Genomic DNA, 19,599 nt, shown 5'->3' on the forward strand with positions numbered 1-19,599 from the left:
TGTTCTTCAAAGTAGTTGTAGCAATTTACACTCACACTAGTAATATACAATTAATACCAATGTTTTTTTCCAACATTTTTTATTGTTGAACTTCTTAACTTACGAAAATTAAACAGTAGCACATTGTTGTCTTGATTTAAATTTCTCTAATCTCTAATATTGGTTATACGCATTTACTTTCAGAATACATATTCCTATCTTTTCCCCACCCCAAAAAACACACAAAAATGAATTCCTCTAGAATATCTGTAATTAAATACTGTGCTATATAGGTTTGGAGTTGTAGCTGAGTACGGGTCAACTTTATGAAAAGATACTCACAAGGCTATTGCTTCTTATTGTATGTTTATTATAAATCAGTAGAGGAATAGTAAAAACAACATTATAGTAAAATTTTTGGTAATGGTCTTTCTTTAGGATTTTAAAGAATCAAAATAAAAATAAAGCAAGTAAAGATGGAAGTAGATAAAATACAAATGGGGACCATTTACTCCATTATAATATTAAGACATTGACTAATGGAAAATCATATTAATTTTTTTGCATGGTACTAAAAGAGGAAAAAATGTAAACATATTTCACCCTTTAATGAATCAAGCTGCATGTTCTACTTTCAAAAATATGTAATTTTCATTATGGTGCCAGAAAGAAGTTAGCGTTATCATCTATACTTCTATTGTCTTTTTAAATATATGTAGCCAGTGAACATTGAGTTAAGACTTTTCTTGTATTTAACCAGGACCAACGAGTAGAACATAAAACATGAATTCGATCACCAGACATTATTTTAAGACCATCTTTAAATAGCCTATATGAGTTAATTGTATTTAAAATGAATGGCTTGGTTAATTCACTGAAATCAACGGTTTTATCTCTCCGTAAAGCAACAGTATCCCAAACTTGTACCTAATGAAAATGTACATGAGGAACTTACTTAAAATATTTATTCTTCTACCCTCTCTTAGTGAGTCTAATTTGACAGATTTGGGGCTTGGCTCAGAAATTTGTACTTTCGACATGAGCTCCAGAATAATGGTGTATCAGCTACACTTTAAAAACGATTTGGGGGAAATACTATCAGAACAGACTTTCTCCCTTTGGTAGAGTTCCTAACAAGAACCCTGAGAGAATCATGTCACTGTATTACAACCTGGGCTACAGAGCAAGAGGCCATCTGAAAACAAAACAAAACAAAACAAAACAAAAACAACTCTGAGAATTCAGAGTTGACTAGAACCTGGGGAAGCCTTCTAGATTGTTCTCTACATTTGTAAAAGAAATAAATGTAAGAACTGCTCTAGAATGTACATTCTCAACCAGAGTGCCAGCTTCATGAATGCTGAGATTTGTGTTGGTTTTACAGCTTGAATGTCTCTGCCGAAGGCTTTCAATAAATATTTGTTGAAAAAGAAAGGAAGAAAGAAAATGAAGAAGGAACGAAGGAGGAAAGGAAAGAAGGAAAGAAGGAAGGAAGGAGTTAATGAAGACTCAAGGTGATTCTTAACTTTCTAATACAGAATTCTCTTTTCGTTTCCTCCTTCAATCCAGATAAATGACATGCCGTGATGGAAAATCTGAAATATGTTTTGTGATGCCTTTTTGCTGCTACTACCAACAGTAAACTCAAACTCTTGAAACTGGTTTTTTTTCCTCTTTTTCTGCCATGCCCCATAGTAATCTTCCTTGCTTGCATGTTCCACTACAACTCAGTGATGCTTCAGATATGCAACTAAACTACTGCACAATAAATATAAAGCTAGGACAAGTCACTTAATTCAGGTTTAAATATACAAATTTTCCTTGCAGTAACTTAAAATTGATACTTCTCATCCACTGATTTCCTGTCAGGATCTTGCCTACTAAGGGCCATGATTATTGTGGCTGGCATATCTCATTTTTTCCCTTTAGTTAGGCAAATTACTTTAGTGACACTCTTGGTAGAGACTCTTTTGTTTGGTGTCTGGAAGACGGTCTTTTTTTTTTTTTCTTTTTCCTTTCCCAGTGTTTTCTTTATAATTTTTGTAGTCTACTGTAATGGGTAAGCTTGGACTATAAACTCAGTTTTGAGTTCTGAGACTGACTTATACTCTTAAAACTTAGATGATTTATTTTATTTCGGAGACTTTAATTTCATCATCAGAAAAATGAGAGCACTGCCAGAGAAGACCTCTAGGATCTCTGCTATTGAATGATTGTGTGATTCTCTGCAGAAAGGTAATTTTGCTTGTAATGCTGACCCTGATTCTTCAGACTCACTCTCTTACACTGTACCCTCGACTATTTGTTTTCTTGTTCTCTATTAAGTACAAATAAATCCACAGATTTTCTGAAGGTAGAAATCATAATTCTCTACCATTTTTGGGGAGGGATGATATTTTGTCACCACTCTGTAGGAAACAAATAGTTTAGGATTCAGAGGGGTTTTGACTTTATGAACTTGAGAATAGCTCATGTTGAACATAAAAATTTGTATATTCTCTGACGCTCTTTACGATCTTCTAAAATGTTCAGCAACAGTGAAATTATCCAGCCTTGTTATCTGAAAAAAAAAACTCTGAGAAAACAATTACACAAACTTTTGTTTGTTGACAGATGGCTGACAGACACAGTTATAGGCCCCTTGTTCTTTTGTTACTTCTTTTGGAGCAGTTTAATCATGTTAAATAGTAAAGTTTTCACTCTGCCAGCCCAGCCCCCAGTACATCAAGGTTTTACATGTTGATGAACAACATCACCTTAATGCCTTAAAAATGCAAGATATTTAAGCCAATTCCCCCATGTATAAAATAAATATGTGTATACATGTTTCTTAGCTCCTAGCTCCTTCCTGTCAGCACTTAGGTTTCCAGAATTCATGGTCCTCGTATATTCTTTCTCTGCCTCTGATTTCTCTCCTTTCAAGCAATCTTAGCACTGTTTCCGTTCCTATAATACCTATGTCCTATAATTCTATATTTCCCTGCTATACTTTACCTTTAACATATATGCCTTATGTTTAATTCAACAAATATTTATTGAATAGATATGTATAAGGTATAAATGTTCAAAGATGACTTAGATACAGCTTTTACACTCTAGGAGTTTTGCTAAGAAAGAGAGAATATATAAACAATTGTAATAAAGAATTAGTAGGATATATGTAGATAGATAGTTAAAGAAAAGATTAAAGTTTGACCAGGTTATTTCCTATTAGCTCTATTTTAATCAACTAATTTATTTTCAAGTATGATAAAGACTAGAAATTGATTCACACACAGATTTTAACAGTGGATTTATGCATTTGTATTGCCTTCCCCAAAAATCAGGCCTCTAATTTTTAATTTTTTTTTAATGTTTGATATGGTAAAACTGCAAAAATGACTTGGTGGCAAACTGGCCTTTCACATTAGCCCCTTAAATTACACTAAGTAGGCAAGAGAAGAGTATAATTACATATGAAGTCAGCAGTGCTTAAAAGATAAGCAATGGAAATGTTTTATGTCAATGATAACAAATATATCAAACACTTACTACAGGCCAGGCACTATTCTTAATTTATTCATGTAAATTAAGACTTAATTAAACTCCCTTATGTAGAGACTATTATAATAAACATTTTATAAATGAAGAAAAAGACATAGAAAGTTGAAGTGAGTTGCCTAGCTAGGAATAATTATGCAAGTTTGTTCAGCTCAAGAGCCCGTGTTCTTAGTCTTTACCTCTGTGTCTCTGTGGAGTAAGAATGCTGTTTGAAGGGCAAATGGCTAGGGAATCAAAGAAGTTGGGATCAGAATATTTCTGATACTTTGTATGAATCAATTCCATTAGTCTCAGATGCTTTAGAAAATAAATATAAGCTATTCTATCTAAAATGCCTAATAAACTTCCTTGAGTATGGACACTTGCATCTGTCTAGTTTCCTACCCTTGCGCAAAACGTATCAAGATTTGCATTCATGAGCTTCTATCTTTTGAAGAGCACATGCATCTTATTGGCATCTTTTTAGAGTGTACATGTGGGGTGCATCGCATCAAAAGATAAATGCATACCACAATTGCTGAAACATGGCTAGCAAAATAGTTGTGTTGAAAATTTGTTCTGACTCTTACCATCATCTAACCATCAAAAATAGCTGACATGATAACAATATCAGAACAGCTGTGCTATTTTAAAGTGTTTTGTTTCCTAAACAACCTCCCACTATTACTCCCTGTCAAGATTTGCTGTTTTTATCCACTTGTGCAAATAAATTATTACTTGAATATGGAATAGATCAGGAGAAAATATGAAATAAATATGCTTAAGTAGATATATTTCCAGACCCAACAGTAATGGATGCAACTGATTTGCCAACTACATTCAGTTTATACATTGTAAAAATGAATCTGCTACCAGAAAGCCTGAGTTGAGAAAGTCCAGACTGGTTTATAACAATCTCCTGCTGGTGTTTTTTGACATAATTTAACTCTGAGTCAACAAAAAAGTTTTTTCTATATCATGTAGCTTGACAATATTAATTGAATACTTCCCTTAGAATTTGAACCATTGACAAAAAAGCCAAAATTTTTATCATGTTTCCAGAGGTCAAAGCTTAATTAGCAGGCAATAGTTTCCTGGGCAGGTACAGTTGTTATGTCTAAAAAAGACCTCAATGAAATATACCATCACTCAGTTTAATGCTCAGTTTTCTGAATAAGAAAGAAAATGGATCCACTGGAGGGTGAACGTAGTGTCATGATAACTAAAGTCAATTTGTTTGTTTGGGAATCCGCTTAGAATTTTAGTTATTCAGCTGTGTTTACTAATAAACTGTGCAGGCATGTAAACAAGCAGTCTCAAGAGACACAATGGCTAGACTCTCTGTTTCCAAAATATTGGCCCCAATTGTAAAGTTCATTTACAAAACTACACTTCCATTGGTTAACCAGTGGATAGCTGAGCAAAAGAGAAGCTGTTGTTCTAACTTTGTGATATTTTTGAACATTATGAAATATCAAGGTACATACTACGTAATACTACCAAAGAATAAAAATAGAATAAGAGCAAAATTTCATATAAATACACACAAGCACCACACAATTCTTTTAAATTAAAAAAAGAGATGGAAATGAAAAGGAGATGAAGATCAGTGTTATCTTCAGGCTTTTTATGTAGGGTATACTAACAGACCATGACCAAATGGCTCTGCCATTGTGGGTAGTTCCTGACCTGCCATTTCCCACAGTCCAAATTTTTCAGGTCAGAAGAATGGGTTAATTGCTTTACAGTCTCTAAGATTGTTTTATAAAATTGTTAGGTCACATCAATAAGATCTGCCAAATTAAATACTTGACTTTTATCTGATATTCTAGATCTGGTAAGAAAAAACATATATATGTATATGTCTAACATTCTATAAGCAACTCAAGTCAATGTTTTATGAGTTATAAATATTATACATATATCCCTTTAAGTAATAGTTCATAAAATACATTTAGCTTTAGCTTTCTACTCAACATATATTTATAAACTTTAACATTACTGAAATATCTTGGATCTCAATATACAGGTAGTCTATAATTCCCACAGAGTTTAAATTAAAGCTACTTTTAAAGAGTTAATAAAGTTTCTTATTTAGTTTTTAAATGAAGGAAATAAAAGTTGAGCTTGTAATATTAAGACTGACTCTTCATGGGAACTGAATGAATTGTTCAGAAGCATTCAGAAAAATATCATGTTGCCATATTTTTTTCTAGTATAAAAGGTGGATACTCTATTCACTCTGAGTATTTCCTAAAATTTCATGGATTCTGTGTTTTGATCCCAACATAAATATTTTGGAAGTCAAATATTAGAAAAACGTTGCAGAAGATTCTTGAATCCCACCTTTATATCCCTCTCCCTCTGTAGCTGAAGTAGAAGTTTTCAGCCTTGTCCTAACAAAACTTCACTGCAAATACCTGCATCACTTTGTTTCCCCATCTTAGTCTTTCTTCAGCTCTGCAACCAAAAATGCACTAAACTTAATATACCCAGGGTAAATCCTTAACAGATGAAAAACTAGGTGGATAAACCCCCAGCCTTCCTATTGTTCAGTGGGACAGTTTGAAGGTATGGTCCACACAATAGCTTAGAGGCGATCCAATAGAGTGGAGCATCAATTATCTGTAGCAGTAACCCTCTCATTAATGTACCATTTATTGGCTTTTCTCCTTTTCCCATCTCACTTATCTCATCTGTCCCTCATTCATATCTCCTAAGATCACCTCCCAAACAAATTATATGTTTGTTTGTCTTTGTCTCGTATTGGCTTTTGGAGAAAAATGAACTAAAATAGTTTGACCTCCAGTTTCTATAAAGAGATACTTAAACCTTTCCAATACCAATAAACAAAAATTCAGTGAACCTCTTGAAGTAAAACTCACAAAACAATGTTCTGATGAATTAATCTACATGATTCAAAAACTTGTGTGTTCCATTGCCCTGACTGCACAGAGAATCTACACATCAAAAAGAAACCAAAGTTATCCTCAATTGTCCCTAATTTTTGGTTTTGCTGATGCATGAAACTTAGATGTTGCTATGTTGTTCAGTATTTGGCCAGCAAAAAGCTTGGCTAATTCTCTTATCATTAACCACAACCTACATCATCATTGTTGCCAAGAATGTGAAGATAAACTCCTCAATGTAATACATGCCAAAAAATATTGTGTCCTTTGTGTCTAATTGAACATTTTTTCCATTTTTTAAAAGTGAGCACTTTTTTCAATTACATTTGTTTTTAAAAAGACTGTATTTTTAACTGGATGAACTGCTTACTAATTCTTTCTTCTTTTTCTGTTTTTCCTGTGGAGTACTCCCTATTTACTTTTCTTACCTAAGGTGAACAACATAATGTTTATACATATATACACACCATATATATTAAAACATATACAGTTTTATATGTGGTTTTATGTATATATACATACACACACACACACACACACAAACACATAGTTAAATGGTTAGTTTAAACACATGAACAAGGTAAGGCTATTATTCTTTGGTTGGTAAGTAACTAAATGAAAATGCTTTACTACTAAGTATTTTTATTAAATACTAGTACCACTAAATTAGAAAATTCTCAGGCCCTAGATTTAGGAATTTATTTAGCTGTAGTGCAAACATGTAGAATATAATTCATAGGGAAACAGTTTTTCCAGTTAAGAATCTTGAGGACTACATTAGCAAAAAAATACTTAAATTTGATTTTTGAGACTAATAAAATAAATGTAATTAATAATAATGCAAAAACATAACTACAATTGTTAAAATATATTAGTTTGATATTTTGTCTAGTTAATTTAACAAAAGAAAATGAGAGGGAGCAGAGAAAAGGAAAGAACATAAATTGTCAGAAAGTTGGTCTACTTTGTAAAATTCTTAATTGACTTAGATGTAACTAACTTAATAATATGTTACTTGAAAATATAAATAGTGAAATTTGTTATAATTTTAATTGTTATCTCATGGCCAAATGAGATGTAAACTGTAGAAAACCTCTGTTTTTCTAAGTTGTAATGAGGAAAACTTATCTTTCTGTCTACCTGTAACTTTTCAGAGCCAAAATATCTCTGAAAAAAATTTGTCTCTTTGAAACACTTTTCCTTTTCTGATAAGCAATAATTATATAGTTTTTCAAGTGACAACTCATTCTTAAGAGCCATAAATGACATTGAGAGAGTTATAAAAGATTTTAATTTTATATATTGACAAGTATAATCCAAATTTCCTATTTCACCAGATAAAAGTAAATTTTCATAATTACATAAAAATATGTACTAGTATGTCTTGAAGTTGATTATTCTATTAGTGTTTTTTTTTCCTGCTTTTGTATGGATAGAATCAACCTTTTGTAGGCTGTTACTTTTGCCCTATCTTTATATTTCCTGGGTACCAATCTCCTTACCTGCAAAGAAAGAGATTTGAAAATGTGGTCTCTAGTGTCCTCTCCTGACATAGCCTATAGATTCTAAATCCTATCCACAATTCCCAATTCAAGACCACATGGCCATTTTCAGTTCCCCCACCCATGTTATCGAGATAGGCTGACTTCTCTTTGCCAAGTTTGTTCATGGGACCAATGTGGTATATCCAAAGTGTATCTAATCTTGAAAAAATGATGACATCCTTGAGGATAGACTATGTATTATACTTTCCTATCCTCATCACAGAATAGGTGTTTAATAAATACCTATACTATCATCACAAAATCACTTATATCTTGTATGATATTGTACTAAAAAGAAAAGAAAGTGACTGTCACTTGATTAAGTTTCTTATCTTTTGGGGGGCACAAACTCTGCTTTTTACAACTTTTACTCAGGAAACTGATTTAACACAGAGAGAACCATTAAGTATCACTATTTTTGTTGTATCACTTCCCCCTGCATATCCTGATTTAGAAGTATTCTTTAATTACCAAAGAAATAATGCATCACTGAATCAGGAAATGTTTAATTATGGTCTGGTAGGAGCTTTGCTCACACATAGGTAAACCGTGTAACTTCTGGAGTCATTGAAAAATAATATTTCTTAATATCTGACAAGTCGTCAGCTATGCACTTAAGACAAGCCTCAAAAACACTTGTTTGACTATAGGTGGATAGGTGGACATTGGGTCAGAGTCAGACATGTGTTTGAAATATAGCTTTGCCATTTATTGAGTAAACTTAGAGAAGTTGATTAACTCTTCTGAGCTTCAGTTTCTCTGTTACAGTAAAATAGAGAATGGTAGTAACTATCTTACATTTTTGTTGAAAAGATTCCTTAGGATGACATATATAAACCACTTAGCATTCCTTGGCCTAAAGAAAGAAGTTTAATAAGTAATTTTCTTACTATTTAAATTATTGTGTGGAAACTATTATAGAGTGTATTTTTGTTTATCTTTAAAAACAGTTTGCTTTGGTTTGTCAGATTAATTTGTGAGAACATGAATAGCACAGTTGTGTAAGAAGTTTAGAACCTGTTTAGCTTAAGATCATGGAATCATCGAATATTAGAGCAGTGGAACACTGAGACATGAAACGTTTCATTTCACTTCCATCATTCACAACACATAATACATATACATCATACAGACGAAGAAAAGGAGACCCTGGAAATTGGAATATATTTTCTTTGTTTGCACATATAGAAAACTTGGGGGCTAGTCCTAATTCTCTCTTTTTCTAGCCAGCATTGCTTTATCCACACAATTCAGTCCTCTCAGATAATGAGAGATCAACATGAAGAAAATTGGAAGAAAGTAACAAAACATGACATAGATTTGGAATGTATGTGTTATCTAGTAACAAAATAATGCTATAAGACAACCATAATGCTCAGTAACACACAATAATAAACATTATTCAAATCTATAGGTGGGTTACTTATGCCGGACTTAGCTGGCCTGATTTTCTGATCTGACTGGGCACCCTCAGGCATCTGTGGTCTGTTTCTGAGGAAAGACGGCTATTGGCTGAGGCACTCAGCACTTCTCATAGTCTATTATCTTCAAGGTAGCTTGGGCTTGGGCTCACAGAATGGTAGGAATCCAAGAGAGAGAGAGAGCAGAGGCATTCACATTTCTTGAGGCTTAGGCTTATCCCTGCTACCGTATCACCTCTGCCAAAGTCTACTAATCAAATACATCATGAAACCAATCCAGAACTAAGTGGTGGGGAAAGTGGGGAAACAGACTCCACTTCATGATGGGAAAAACGTCAAAGTGCTGTTGCTAAGATGTAAACACGAATAGGGGTGAAGACTTGGGGCCAATTTTTTAAGCCTTCAAAGGAGATTGCACAATTTTGTAATAAAATTAACCTTTCCATCCTCTGTCTTAATAATATTTCTCCAAAATATTTGATATGTTGGTGTCTAGTTGCTGTCTAATTGACATTATAAGAAAACTTCAACATTTAATATGAAAAAAATGCCAAAATAAAATATTTTAAATGTTAATAAACTCAGTTGGATTGCAAAATGTAAATATCAACGTTATCTCTTCTTTAACCATAAGCAGCCTTCCATACCCTTAGTCAGAGTGCATGTGGGCTGCTCTTTATCATGAATTAAAACCAGCTTTGAAATCTCTTTGTCACTTTCTGAAATCAAGATTAGAATTAAGCGTTAATGCTACCAAATATATCAATCATCTTAACACAACCATTTAGGCACTCATACAGAAGACTTATCATCCTATTACAATACAATATATCAGAAAATCTTGAAAATTATTGTTGTGATATATATGCATTTATGCATTTTCATTTTATTTATATTTTAACATAGATAAGAGTAAAAATAATTACTAAAATAATCAGTTTATTTTATTATTTTTAATGGCAAATCAAGTAGATTTTAGGTGAAAAGATTTAGAGTTGAAGTCATCTATCTTATGTATAAGGTAGAAATATTTGCCCGTTTTCTAAATCATTATTGTTAGTTAACAAGAAGCTAATTTGAAAGGCTGTTTATAAAACAATTTATAGTTACTGTTTGAAATATTAGTAATATTTTTGAAGGATATTAGTAAGTTATTGGAACTGATTAAGAAGATAAATCTCTGAAATTAATTTTCTATCATAAACACAAACATTTTTTAAAAATTGAGCTTATCTTAATAGAATAATATTAAAATAAGCTTATTCCCTACTTCAACACTTAATACTCTTGTGTTAAAATAAATTACTTTCATAACAAATATATTATGAACAATGCATATGATTTTTCTATTCCACTGGAAATAAAGCTAAACTTTAAAGTAAGATGATTGTTCTATAAATTTCAAGACAATTGTAAGTAAAAATGTGCTAATTTCATCTTAATGGTGGTACCTTAAACTCAAGCCAAATCATGATTATAAGAAATCAGACTAGGACAGAATGAAATATAAGTCCCTGAGCTTTAATAAAGAGTAATTATTTTAACTGAGGGTTTTTTCAGGACTTGATGCTTTTTTACATCACTGACATTATGGGAGACATTATCAAAATTATTAACAAGTATTTTTGAAGATGTTAATATTTGAAGAATTATAAATGCAAGACTATAGTTACAAATGCTGTAATCAAACTTTTCTCTTATACATTTATGAAAAATAACATTATAAATATAAAGATTTTCTGTTTTTCATCTTTCATCGACGATGTATGGCTTTCAAATTCTTCTGTTAGCATAGGAGGAATAATGTTTCAAAATGTATTTTTTTGAGCATATATATTGGCAATATAATGTGCTAGTTGAACTTCTAACACTTGGCTGATATTAAGTCTTGGTTAATGTGCTTTTTCTCTGGTATTTCTAAAAGTGCTGTACTGCAATATTTTTCATTTGTTGATTTACCTGGTTAGACAGAATAGGTGTCTAATTTAGAAAAGGTAGCTCTTGTTTATTGTGACTTTTATATTTATTTACAATGTTCAGTAGTACTTTACATTCTCTTTAACGAAATCAGCTAAATTCCAACAACAACAACAAAACTCTGAGGCATTCATGTAGAGTAGGGTGCAATAACCTTTGCTGTTTTTCCAATAAATCATTTGGCACTTATAGCTTATAATAAACAGTTCTCTTCATGCGCTCTGAAGGAATCTGATCTTTCGCTAAGGTAAGTGTTATCCCAAGGGTTCAGAGAGGATGGAAAGAATTTAGAAACCTCAAAGTTGGCTTCTGTGAACACCTGGTTAATTATGTGAGACAATAAATGGGAAGTATGGCAACTTTAAGCATACTTATTTATTTCCAGACTACCAGGGTGTGTATATATGTGTGTGTGTGTGTGTTTGTGTGTATATATACGTATATATACGTATATATACATATATATATGTATATATACATATATACGTATATATACGTATATATACGTATATATACGTATATATGTATATATACATATATACATACATATACGTATATATACGTATATATACATATATACATACATATACGTATATGTATGTATATATACATATATACATATATACATACATATACGTATATATATGTATATATACATATATACATATATATACGTATATATACATATATATACGTATATATATATGTGTGTGTGTATATATATATATATATATATATATATATATATATACTTGTTTTCCTACTTCCCTATGTAGAATACATATAAAATAAATAACTTTATAATAAACCTTATGAAAGATAACCCTCCAGACTCTGGCTCATCTAATTTTACCTTGGAAGGAATAGTATTATTTACCAATCTTAATAACAAATACCTGAAAAGCTACCAGATCATTAGGACTGGAAATCAAAGCACATGTCCATTTAGGAAGGGTCTTCTGAAATTGGTCTTCTGAATTATTTTAAATGTTAGGGATATTTGTGATATTTTAGTATATGGAAATATATTTTGCATTGAGTCTCATCTCAGTGTTTACATGTATGGACGATATACATGTAATAATGTTTATGTTCAGTTGTTGTTTATGGTCAATGAGGGGTAAGAATAACTCTCCCATTGTCTTCCAGAGTAAAATTAACAACCATAATAATACAAATAATAGCTAATAAAATATGCTATTATGTTACATATGTTAATCTTTCCCAAACCATGCTGATTTTACTATTATTATTACAACTTTACTGATTAGAAAGTTGATTTTAAGTAGTTAAACACTTAGTTGCCCACAATGATCCAGTTCACAAGGGGCGAAACTAGAATTCAGATAGAGGAGATGACTCTAGATTTTGAGCTGTTATTAGCTGCTACACTGTACACTGTGAGCATTTGACTGTATTAGGAGGTCCAATCTCACACTTATATTTGTACTTACGCAAAGCCCAAAACACTCCATTGAAAATGAATATGGGTATGACAGAGGCCTCCTTTTCTATCACAGGTTTCTTCCCTTTATGCTCATTAGAGCTAACCTAATAAATAAAAAGGTTTATTTTTATGAGAATGTTTCTAACATATCAAGATTTGCACATGCCATATCATTACCAATAAAGTTCGCTAATGAGCATGGCTTTGTACATCAAGAACTGTAAACTGTAAATGGTCCAAAGTGCATCTTATCCTCAGGCAAAATAAGTAACTTCCCACATATATATGTAATTTTGGAGGTGCCTACAGAGCTCTTCTGTACCATCCTATCTCCACTCCCCAAATCCCAAACACCATCAAACACCTAATTTACTCATCACCAAACTCTGAATTGTCAGGATGCGTTATAAATGGAAAAAGCTCCAACGTGGGAAGAGTTGATAGGTGAAGGAAACTGCAGGCTTGGGATTTGAACTAATGCTCTCTCCATCCCTATTTCAGTAAGAAAAGGCAGTGTCTTGCCAAAGAAAAGTCACAGTAAAAGGGAAAATGAAACCGCTATGTTTTTGTTATATTCTAAATGATGTCATGACCTAGAAAATGTTATCCTTTCATAAATACCATTGTCAAATATCAAAATGTTAGTGGTATAATAGTAGAAATTAAAAATCTAGTTAGATCAAGATACTAATTTAGTAGTGAGGTCCCACTTCCTACTTCAGATTTGGCTTCAATTCAAAAGAAGTCAGAAAAGAATATTTTTAGTGCTGTTGTAATAGCATTACAGTTCTCTATTTTTGTTTTGCCTCTGTTTCAAAAATTATATCTATGCAATTTATTTTATAAATAACAAAAATGGCCATAAATTTTACCCTCTTATGCAAACTTACTTTTGCAATGTAACTTTTTGTATCTCCTCCAACTTGCAATTCTTCCATCAAGAAGTAGAATCTATCTTCCACCCTTTGATTTGTGGCTTATCCATATGACTTGCTTTGACCAATGGAATATTAACAAGTGTGATGCTAATAGAGATTTAAAGCATTTATGCACTAGATCTTGCTCTCTTATGGCTCATTGAATCTTGATGCTCCATGTGCAGACACCTGAGTATCCCTGGAGGATGACAAAACTTTTTAAATGAGGACTTTACAGACTAATCAACTTGCCAACTGTCAGATATGATTGAGATGATTCTAGACCATTTAGCCTTGGCTGAGCCTGTATAGACAGAAAAAAAAAACTGTCTAAGCAATCTAAAGAATTGTGAAAATAATAAATACTTGTTGTTTTAAGCCAATAAGTTTTGGGGTGGTCTGTTGCACAGCAAAAGATAATTGATACATTCCCTAGCTTTTTTTTATTGTTGTTGCTGTTATTGTAGATACAGATATTTAAGAAAACATAACTAGCACTTTCTGGCATGGGAAAAATACATATGGAAATGTAAAAATATGAATGTTCACACTCTTCAGTAATTCTAAGAGAGCATCTAATTGCTAGGTTCCGAAATAGAATGAAATACCACTGCTCAGTTTACACGACGCAAAACTGGCTCCCGTTGTGTTGCCAGTATTACATGTGAGGAAAATGAGAAGTACAGTTATGTTTATGTTGACACGTCTTCATTTCAAGTTTAAGCATTTGATTTGTTTATACTTTCCCCCATTTCCTTGGTTCAGCTGCACTGTCTGGGTTTTAACAAGCTTCAGTTTTACCTCATTCGGTGAGACAGTGTCTGAGTTTAGGATTAACATTTGTACAGTGAAACATAAATGCTCATGAATTGTATATAATATTTTAGCAAAAGCTTATTTAGTTTTACTGCTTTCACAAATTTTTGGTTTAACCAGCAGCCTTCTATTACTCCCTTACAAATTCAATTTAATGGATGGTAAGAATATAATAGTTGGAATGTCTTCTTTCTAGGTTAATAAGTTTAGTAGGTAGCTGCTCTCTGCTGTGGATTAAATAAAAGTTTCAAATTTTGCTTTATCTTTTTCTGTTTCCCTTTATTCAAAAATCTAACTGCTTCTCTTAACAAATAAATCTAAAAAGTTTAAGTTACTCTGAAATAAGTGCATATCCTGATCGGATTAACTAAAAACAATGCTTGAAAAGTTTTTAAAAAACTACACACAAAGTTCTATGTCACTATAACACCATTTTTCTATCTTGTGTATGTAGGATATTTTTGAAATCTTCTGCTTTCCCTATTTTTGCCCTTCTTCCAGTCTCCTGAAATAAGCTCTCCCTGTCCTCAGGAATTCAGTGATCTAAACAACATAGAGTTAGAAGAAAACTTAGAGGCTTTCTTGAGTCTATATTTAAAATATATTTTACTCCTATTATCAATAAGAAATGTTTTAATAGATATACATATAATATTGATAAAATATTATCATAAATTAATTTTTATTTTCATATTTTCATCAGTGCATGATGATAGTTTTTAATTCTATTTTATTTCATTTCCATTTACTTCTATTATATTATCTTTTTATTTGTTGGGTTTTTTCTTGTTTTGTTTTTGTTTTTAAGTGTTGGTCACTCACTACTAAATTGATTTTGCATTTTAGTATTGGATTTTGACCTATAGGTGGAAATATACTGTCCTACCTTAGAAGGAATAAAATAATTTACATCTTAAGATGCCTGTTATGATAACTATTTCATTCCTTCTCATCTTTCTCTGCTTTTCTCCTAGTAAAGTAGATATCTCTATTCTAACCTCCTTTCGAAGGAGAGGAAATGTTATCTCCACAGACCTCAGGCCCATGGCAGAGCCATCCCATGAATCTTCTATCCTTGGATCTCCTTTTCTTTGATTTCCTGATAATCATAATGACTCTCAAATTGGCTTATAGTTCATTTCATCTTTTTAAAAAAATGTCTTGCCACCTGTCCTTCTTAAGCCACCCTACACACATATACCCTGCTTCCAGCTACTTTTCGGTTTTCTTTTTTAGTTTCATTTTTCTATCCCAGTGGCTCCTGCCCCAAGACTTTGTCTTAGATACTCCTCCTTTTGATCATAGCCCTTATCATCATCATTTTTGTAGAGCCCCAAACACCACTAGGGATAATTTAAAATGGCTGGAATCAAGTATGGTTAGCAAAAATGACTTCCAAAGATGGAGAAATAAAAAATTATTTTGATGAGAAATGGGTCCCTCTACTGGTTTAAAAAATAATGAAGATTTAATTAACTAATTTATGTCCCTTGAATCTTTCTGTCACTTTTCTAGCTAAGCATTGGACAATGATATCAAGTAAATAAATTAAAGTTTGAGAATATATGTCCTTGTTTAGAATTATATCAGGTAATCTCTCATATATGAGCTGAATCCCAGTCTGCTCTACTTCCCAGAATCACTCAGAACTCACTGGAGGGAAGCTCTTGCTTTTCTGCCTCTGGTATCTGCTCAAATGCAGGCACTCTTATGGTTACAAACTTTCCCAGCTTCCACTCTCTCTTATGTTTCTCACCCCAAACCTTTCAATCTATTTTCCCCCTTTCAATCTATTTTCCCCCTGCTTACCTATGTCCATCTTTATGAGAAATGAAGTATGTTATTTTCAAACCCAAAAGTATCCATCCTTGCAGGCACATGCAATTAAAGTGGGGTAGGCGCATTCCTATCATGACTTTCCAGACTTTCAGCTGTAAGATGGGGATGCATTTATACTGTTCAGAGAATCTCACTGTGCTGAGAACCTATATTCTTCTCTTGGGAATCAAATCACTTCCCTTCCTTTTTCCTCACTAACCTCAATTCCCAGTTACTCAGTGTTTATTGATCTCAGCTAGATGTAGATAGAAAAGCAAAGTTCAGGTCATAGGTCTCTGCTAGAGAGCTTTTGCAGTTTTGAAGGTTATCAGATTCACTATATTGCTAATTGGTGGATTTCAACAGGGAGGAAAAAAAAATCAGTCAATGTAGGCTGAGAAAATAGTTAAGTGCCAATAATCTTACTTCACGTTTAATAGTCACCACTTGCCTTCTCTATCTCATCCTTTATTTATCAATATTTATTGATTGATTCATTTTCTAATGGTTATACAATTTATTACTAGAGTCTAATTTTGATTTGATAATTTTTATCACTTATTTATAGCAATATAAATCACATAGTAATCTGCCGTTTTTCACTAAAGCCAACATATGAATTGTATTTGATCCTTTTTATCTGGAGGGCCAGCTGAAATTTTTAATTTTAGAAAACAAAAGCAAAAAGTAGAATCTTTTCTTAAAAAGAAGAGCAGATATATGTCCTTAATTCTGTAAAAACTCAATCAATAGAAGCCAGAAAGTGGTAAGAGCAAACTAATGACAACTGTTGCCAGACAATGTCTCCTTGACAGAATTAGCTACATAAATAATTTGTAAGGTCCCAGTGCAAAATAAAAAGTGGGGCTTCATGTTGAAAAATTACTAAGAATTTCATTATGCCAATAGCAAAACATTGAACTATTCTCAGGGCCCCTCTAGGTATATAGTACTCTTTCCAACTGCACAGGTCATGTATATCCATGAAGAAGACCTTGATTCTAGAACATGTTTTGCAAATGTATACTGAAAGCTACAATCTCCTCCTCATCTGTATCTGTATCTATTGTATTGAGTCTTTTTTTTTTTCTTCACAAGAAGAACTTTTTGGAAGAGTAGTCTAGTTGACTGCTAACAAATTCATTGGGAAACTGCTTATATGTGTGGAAAATAACACAATTAGATTTCTATTTCATACTATTAAGCAAATAATCAGTTCTAGGTGGATTTAAGACTGAAATGTAAAAATTGAAAGTTTTTTTTAATTTGAAAACGATAGATTATGGCTTTAGGCCAGGGAAATGCACTTTAAAGAAGTACAAAAATGTACAAAAACACAAAAGTTGAGATTGATATATTTAACTATATTAAACATTTTAGAAACTAAATTAAAAGACAAATTAAATACATTAAAAAAAGTCAAGGCTATAATGTGAGAAAGTTATCTGTCATACAGATAGCTGGTAATAGGTTACCATCAGAATGTATAAAAAATCCTTTAAAATAGGCAATGACACATTTTAAAAATACTATAAAAAATGAATATACTTGAATGACCGATATATCTATAAAAACATGCTCATTATCAGAACACTTCCAGGTACCATTTTACACCTCATCCTCATCTCCATCAATAGCCTTGGATGTAGTCACAGAACTTCTGAGTCACTAGGGGTAGGGTGGGGCCTTGGAAAGTTAATTTTGAAGAAGCTCTCTGAGGGATTCTGATGAGTACCATGGTTGAAAAATGTTTTCTTGAATTTTAACAGATCCTGGTCCAAAGGAATCAATCATCATAGCCTAAAATTGTAACTTCCACACAGTTTTTCAATCTGTCACTTCCTTTCCATTGCTGTGGTTCAGAGAGGTTTAGAGAGGGACTTTGCTACGTGTAAAGAGGTTGGTCTTAAATGCCAGACAGCAGTATACTCCAGCTGTGCAGGAGGTGCAAGGACCATTAACCCACAACTACATGGAAAGCAAGGAGAATAGTGTTCATGAGTCTCCACCAATGTCTTCTATATTAGGTGACAATCATTTCCTCCAAACCCTTTCTCTCTAAACCCACAGCTCATAGAGAAACTGTATTTCCTGATGTCCACAAGAACCTGTCTCACTTCTTCTTTCATCCTTGATTGATGGAGGGAATAAATCATTCTTCACTTCTAGTGAAAAAGGAGGGAAGAAGTGCTCAGGGAAGGATGCAGCCAGGACATGGATTTTTATTGGACCTGAAAAGATGATTAGTTGCCCTGTAATAGAGCACAGGCGTGTTCTGATAACAGTAACTTCTACATCATTTGAGGCAGAAACAGAAAAACAAACCTTATATAGTGTCTCACAAAAGTACCCTTTAGCTAATCTCTCTAATATATAAAAATCTGTTAATCTGAAGAAATAAGAGATTAAAAGTATATATAAAAATGGGTAAAAGAATGGATAGAACTTACACAGAAAAAATAAATGTACATAAAATATACAAAAATATGCACCATATTATTCTTTATAAAAATGCAGAGATTACTATTACTGGGAAACCGGAAAATTTCAAAAGTTTTACGGTTTATTCTGTAGCTGTGGCTTTTGGAAAGCAGTAACTCTCATGTCTTGCAAAATGGTCAATCTCTATCAAGGAAAATTCCCTTTGATCTATAATCTCACTTTTAGAAATCCACCCTGACAATAGGCCTTCCAGAATACAAAACAACATATTATGATGAATTGTTATAATTTTGTGTTGCCTCGGCATTCATTTTGAATACAAGTTAAACTTTCTGATACCAGAAGCGGGGCTTAGTCATTTTTGACACAATTTCCAGTTCTACACCACACTTACATGACTCAACCTAGCCAAAAAACTTAGATCCATCTCTCCCGCTTCTTTTAAAAGGACAGTCAGGCTTTGCGTGGGAATGTAAAGTGACCCACACCATATTCACTTACATATACCGCTAGTTGCCATGTGCTCTTCTCCCTCTCTGTCTGACTCTTCATTCCTGCCTCCTGTGACCTGGGGACAGAGGACTGCCCTCTTGACTCATTGTGCCTCCCTGCCCAGGATCTGTAAGTGAAAATCTTTGAACTTGTTTCTTATTGTGGTAGTATATTAAATTTGCGTCTTCCATCTGAAAAACCAGGGGCTTCCCCAGGCTGGGTTTTTTCCTGGAAATGCAGGCAAGAGCACATAGTCAGGCTTCCAGTGCCAGAGCAATGGTCAGTCATAATCTGGACACAGGTCAGACAAAGACAACG

General features: G+C 32.7%; 1 long non-coding RNA gene across 1 annotated transcript in view; it reads left to right on the forward strand.

Annotated features, from left to right (window-relative positions):
- The window catches only part of LINC00972 (long intergenic non-protein coding RNA 972), a 68,217-nt gene that overhangs the window by 27,375 nt on the left and 21,243 nt on the right, over positions 1 to 19,599 (forward strand). Inside the window, exon 2 of the long non-coding RNA NR_134240.1 lies at positions 1,364 to 1,493. This is a non-coding gene — a long non-coding RNA (long intergenic non-protein coding RNA 972). The remainder of the gene's footprint in view (positions 1 to 1,363; positions 1,494 to 19,599) is intronic.

The sequence above is a fragment of the Homo sapiens genome, chromosome 7, assembly GCF_000001405.40.
Source record: "Homo sapiens chromosome 7, GRCh38.p14 Primary Assembly".
Classification (NCBI taxonomy): Eukaryota; Metazoa; Chordata; class Mammalia; order Primates; family Hominidae; genus Homo; species Homo sapiens.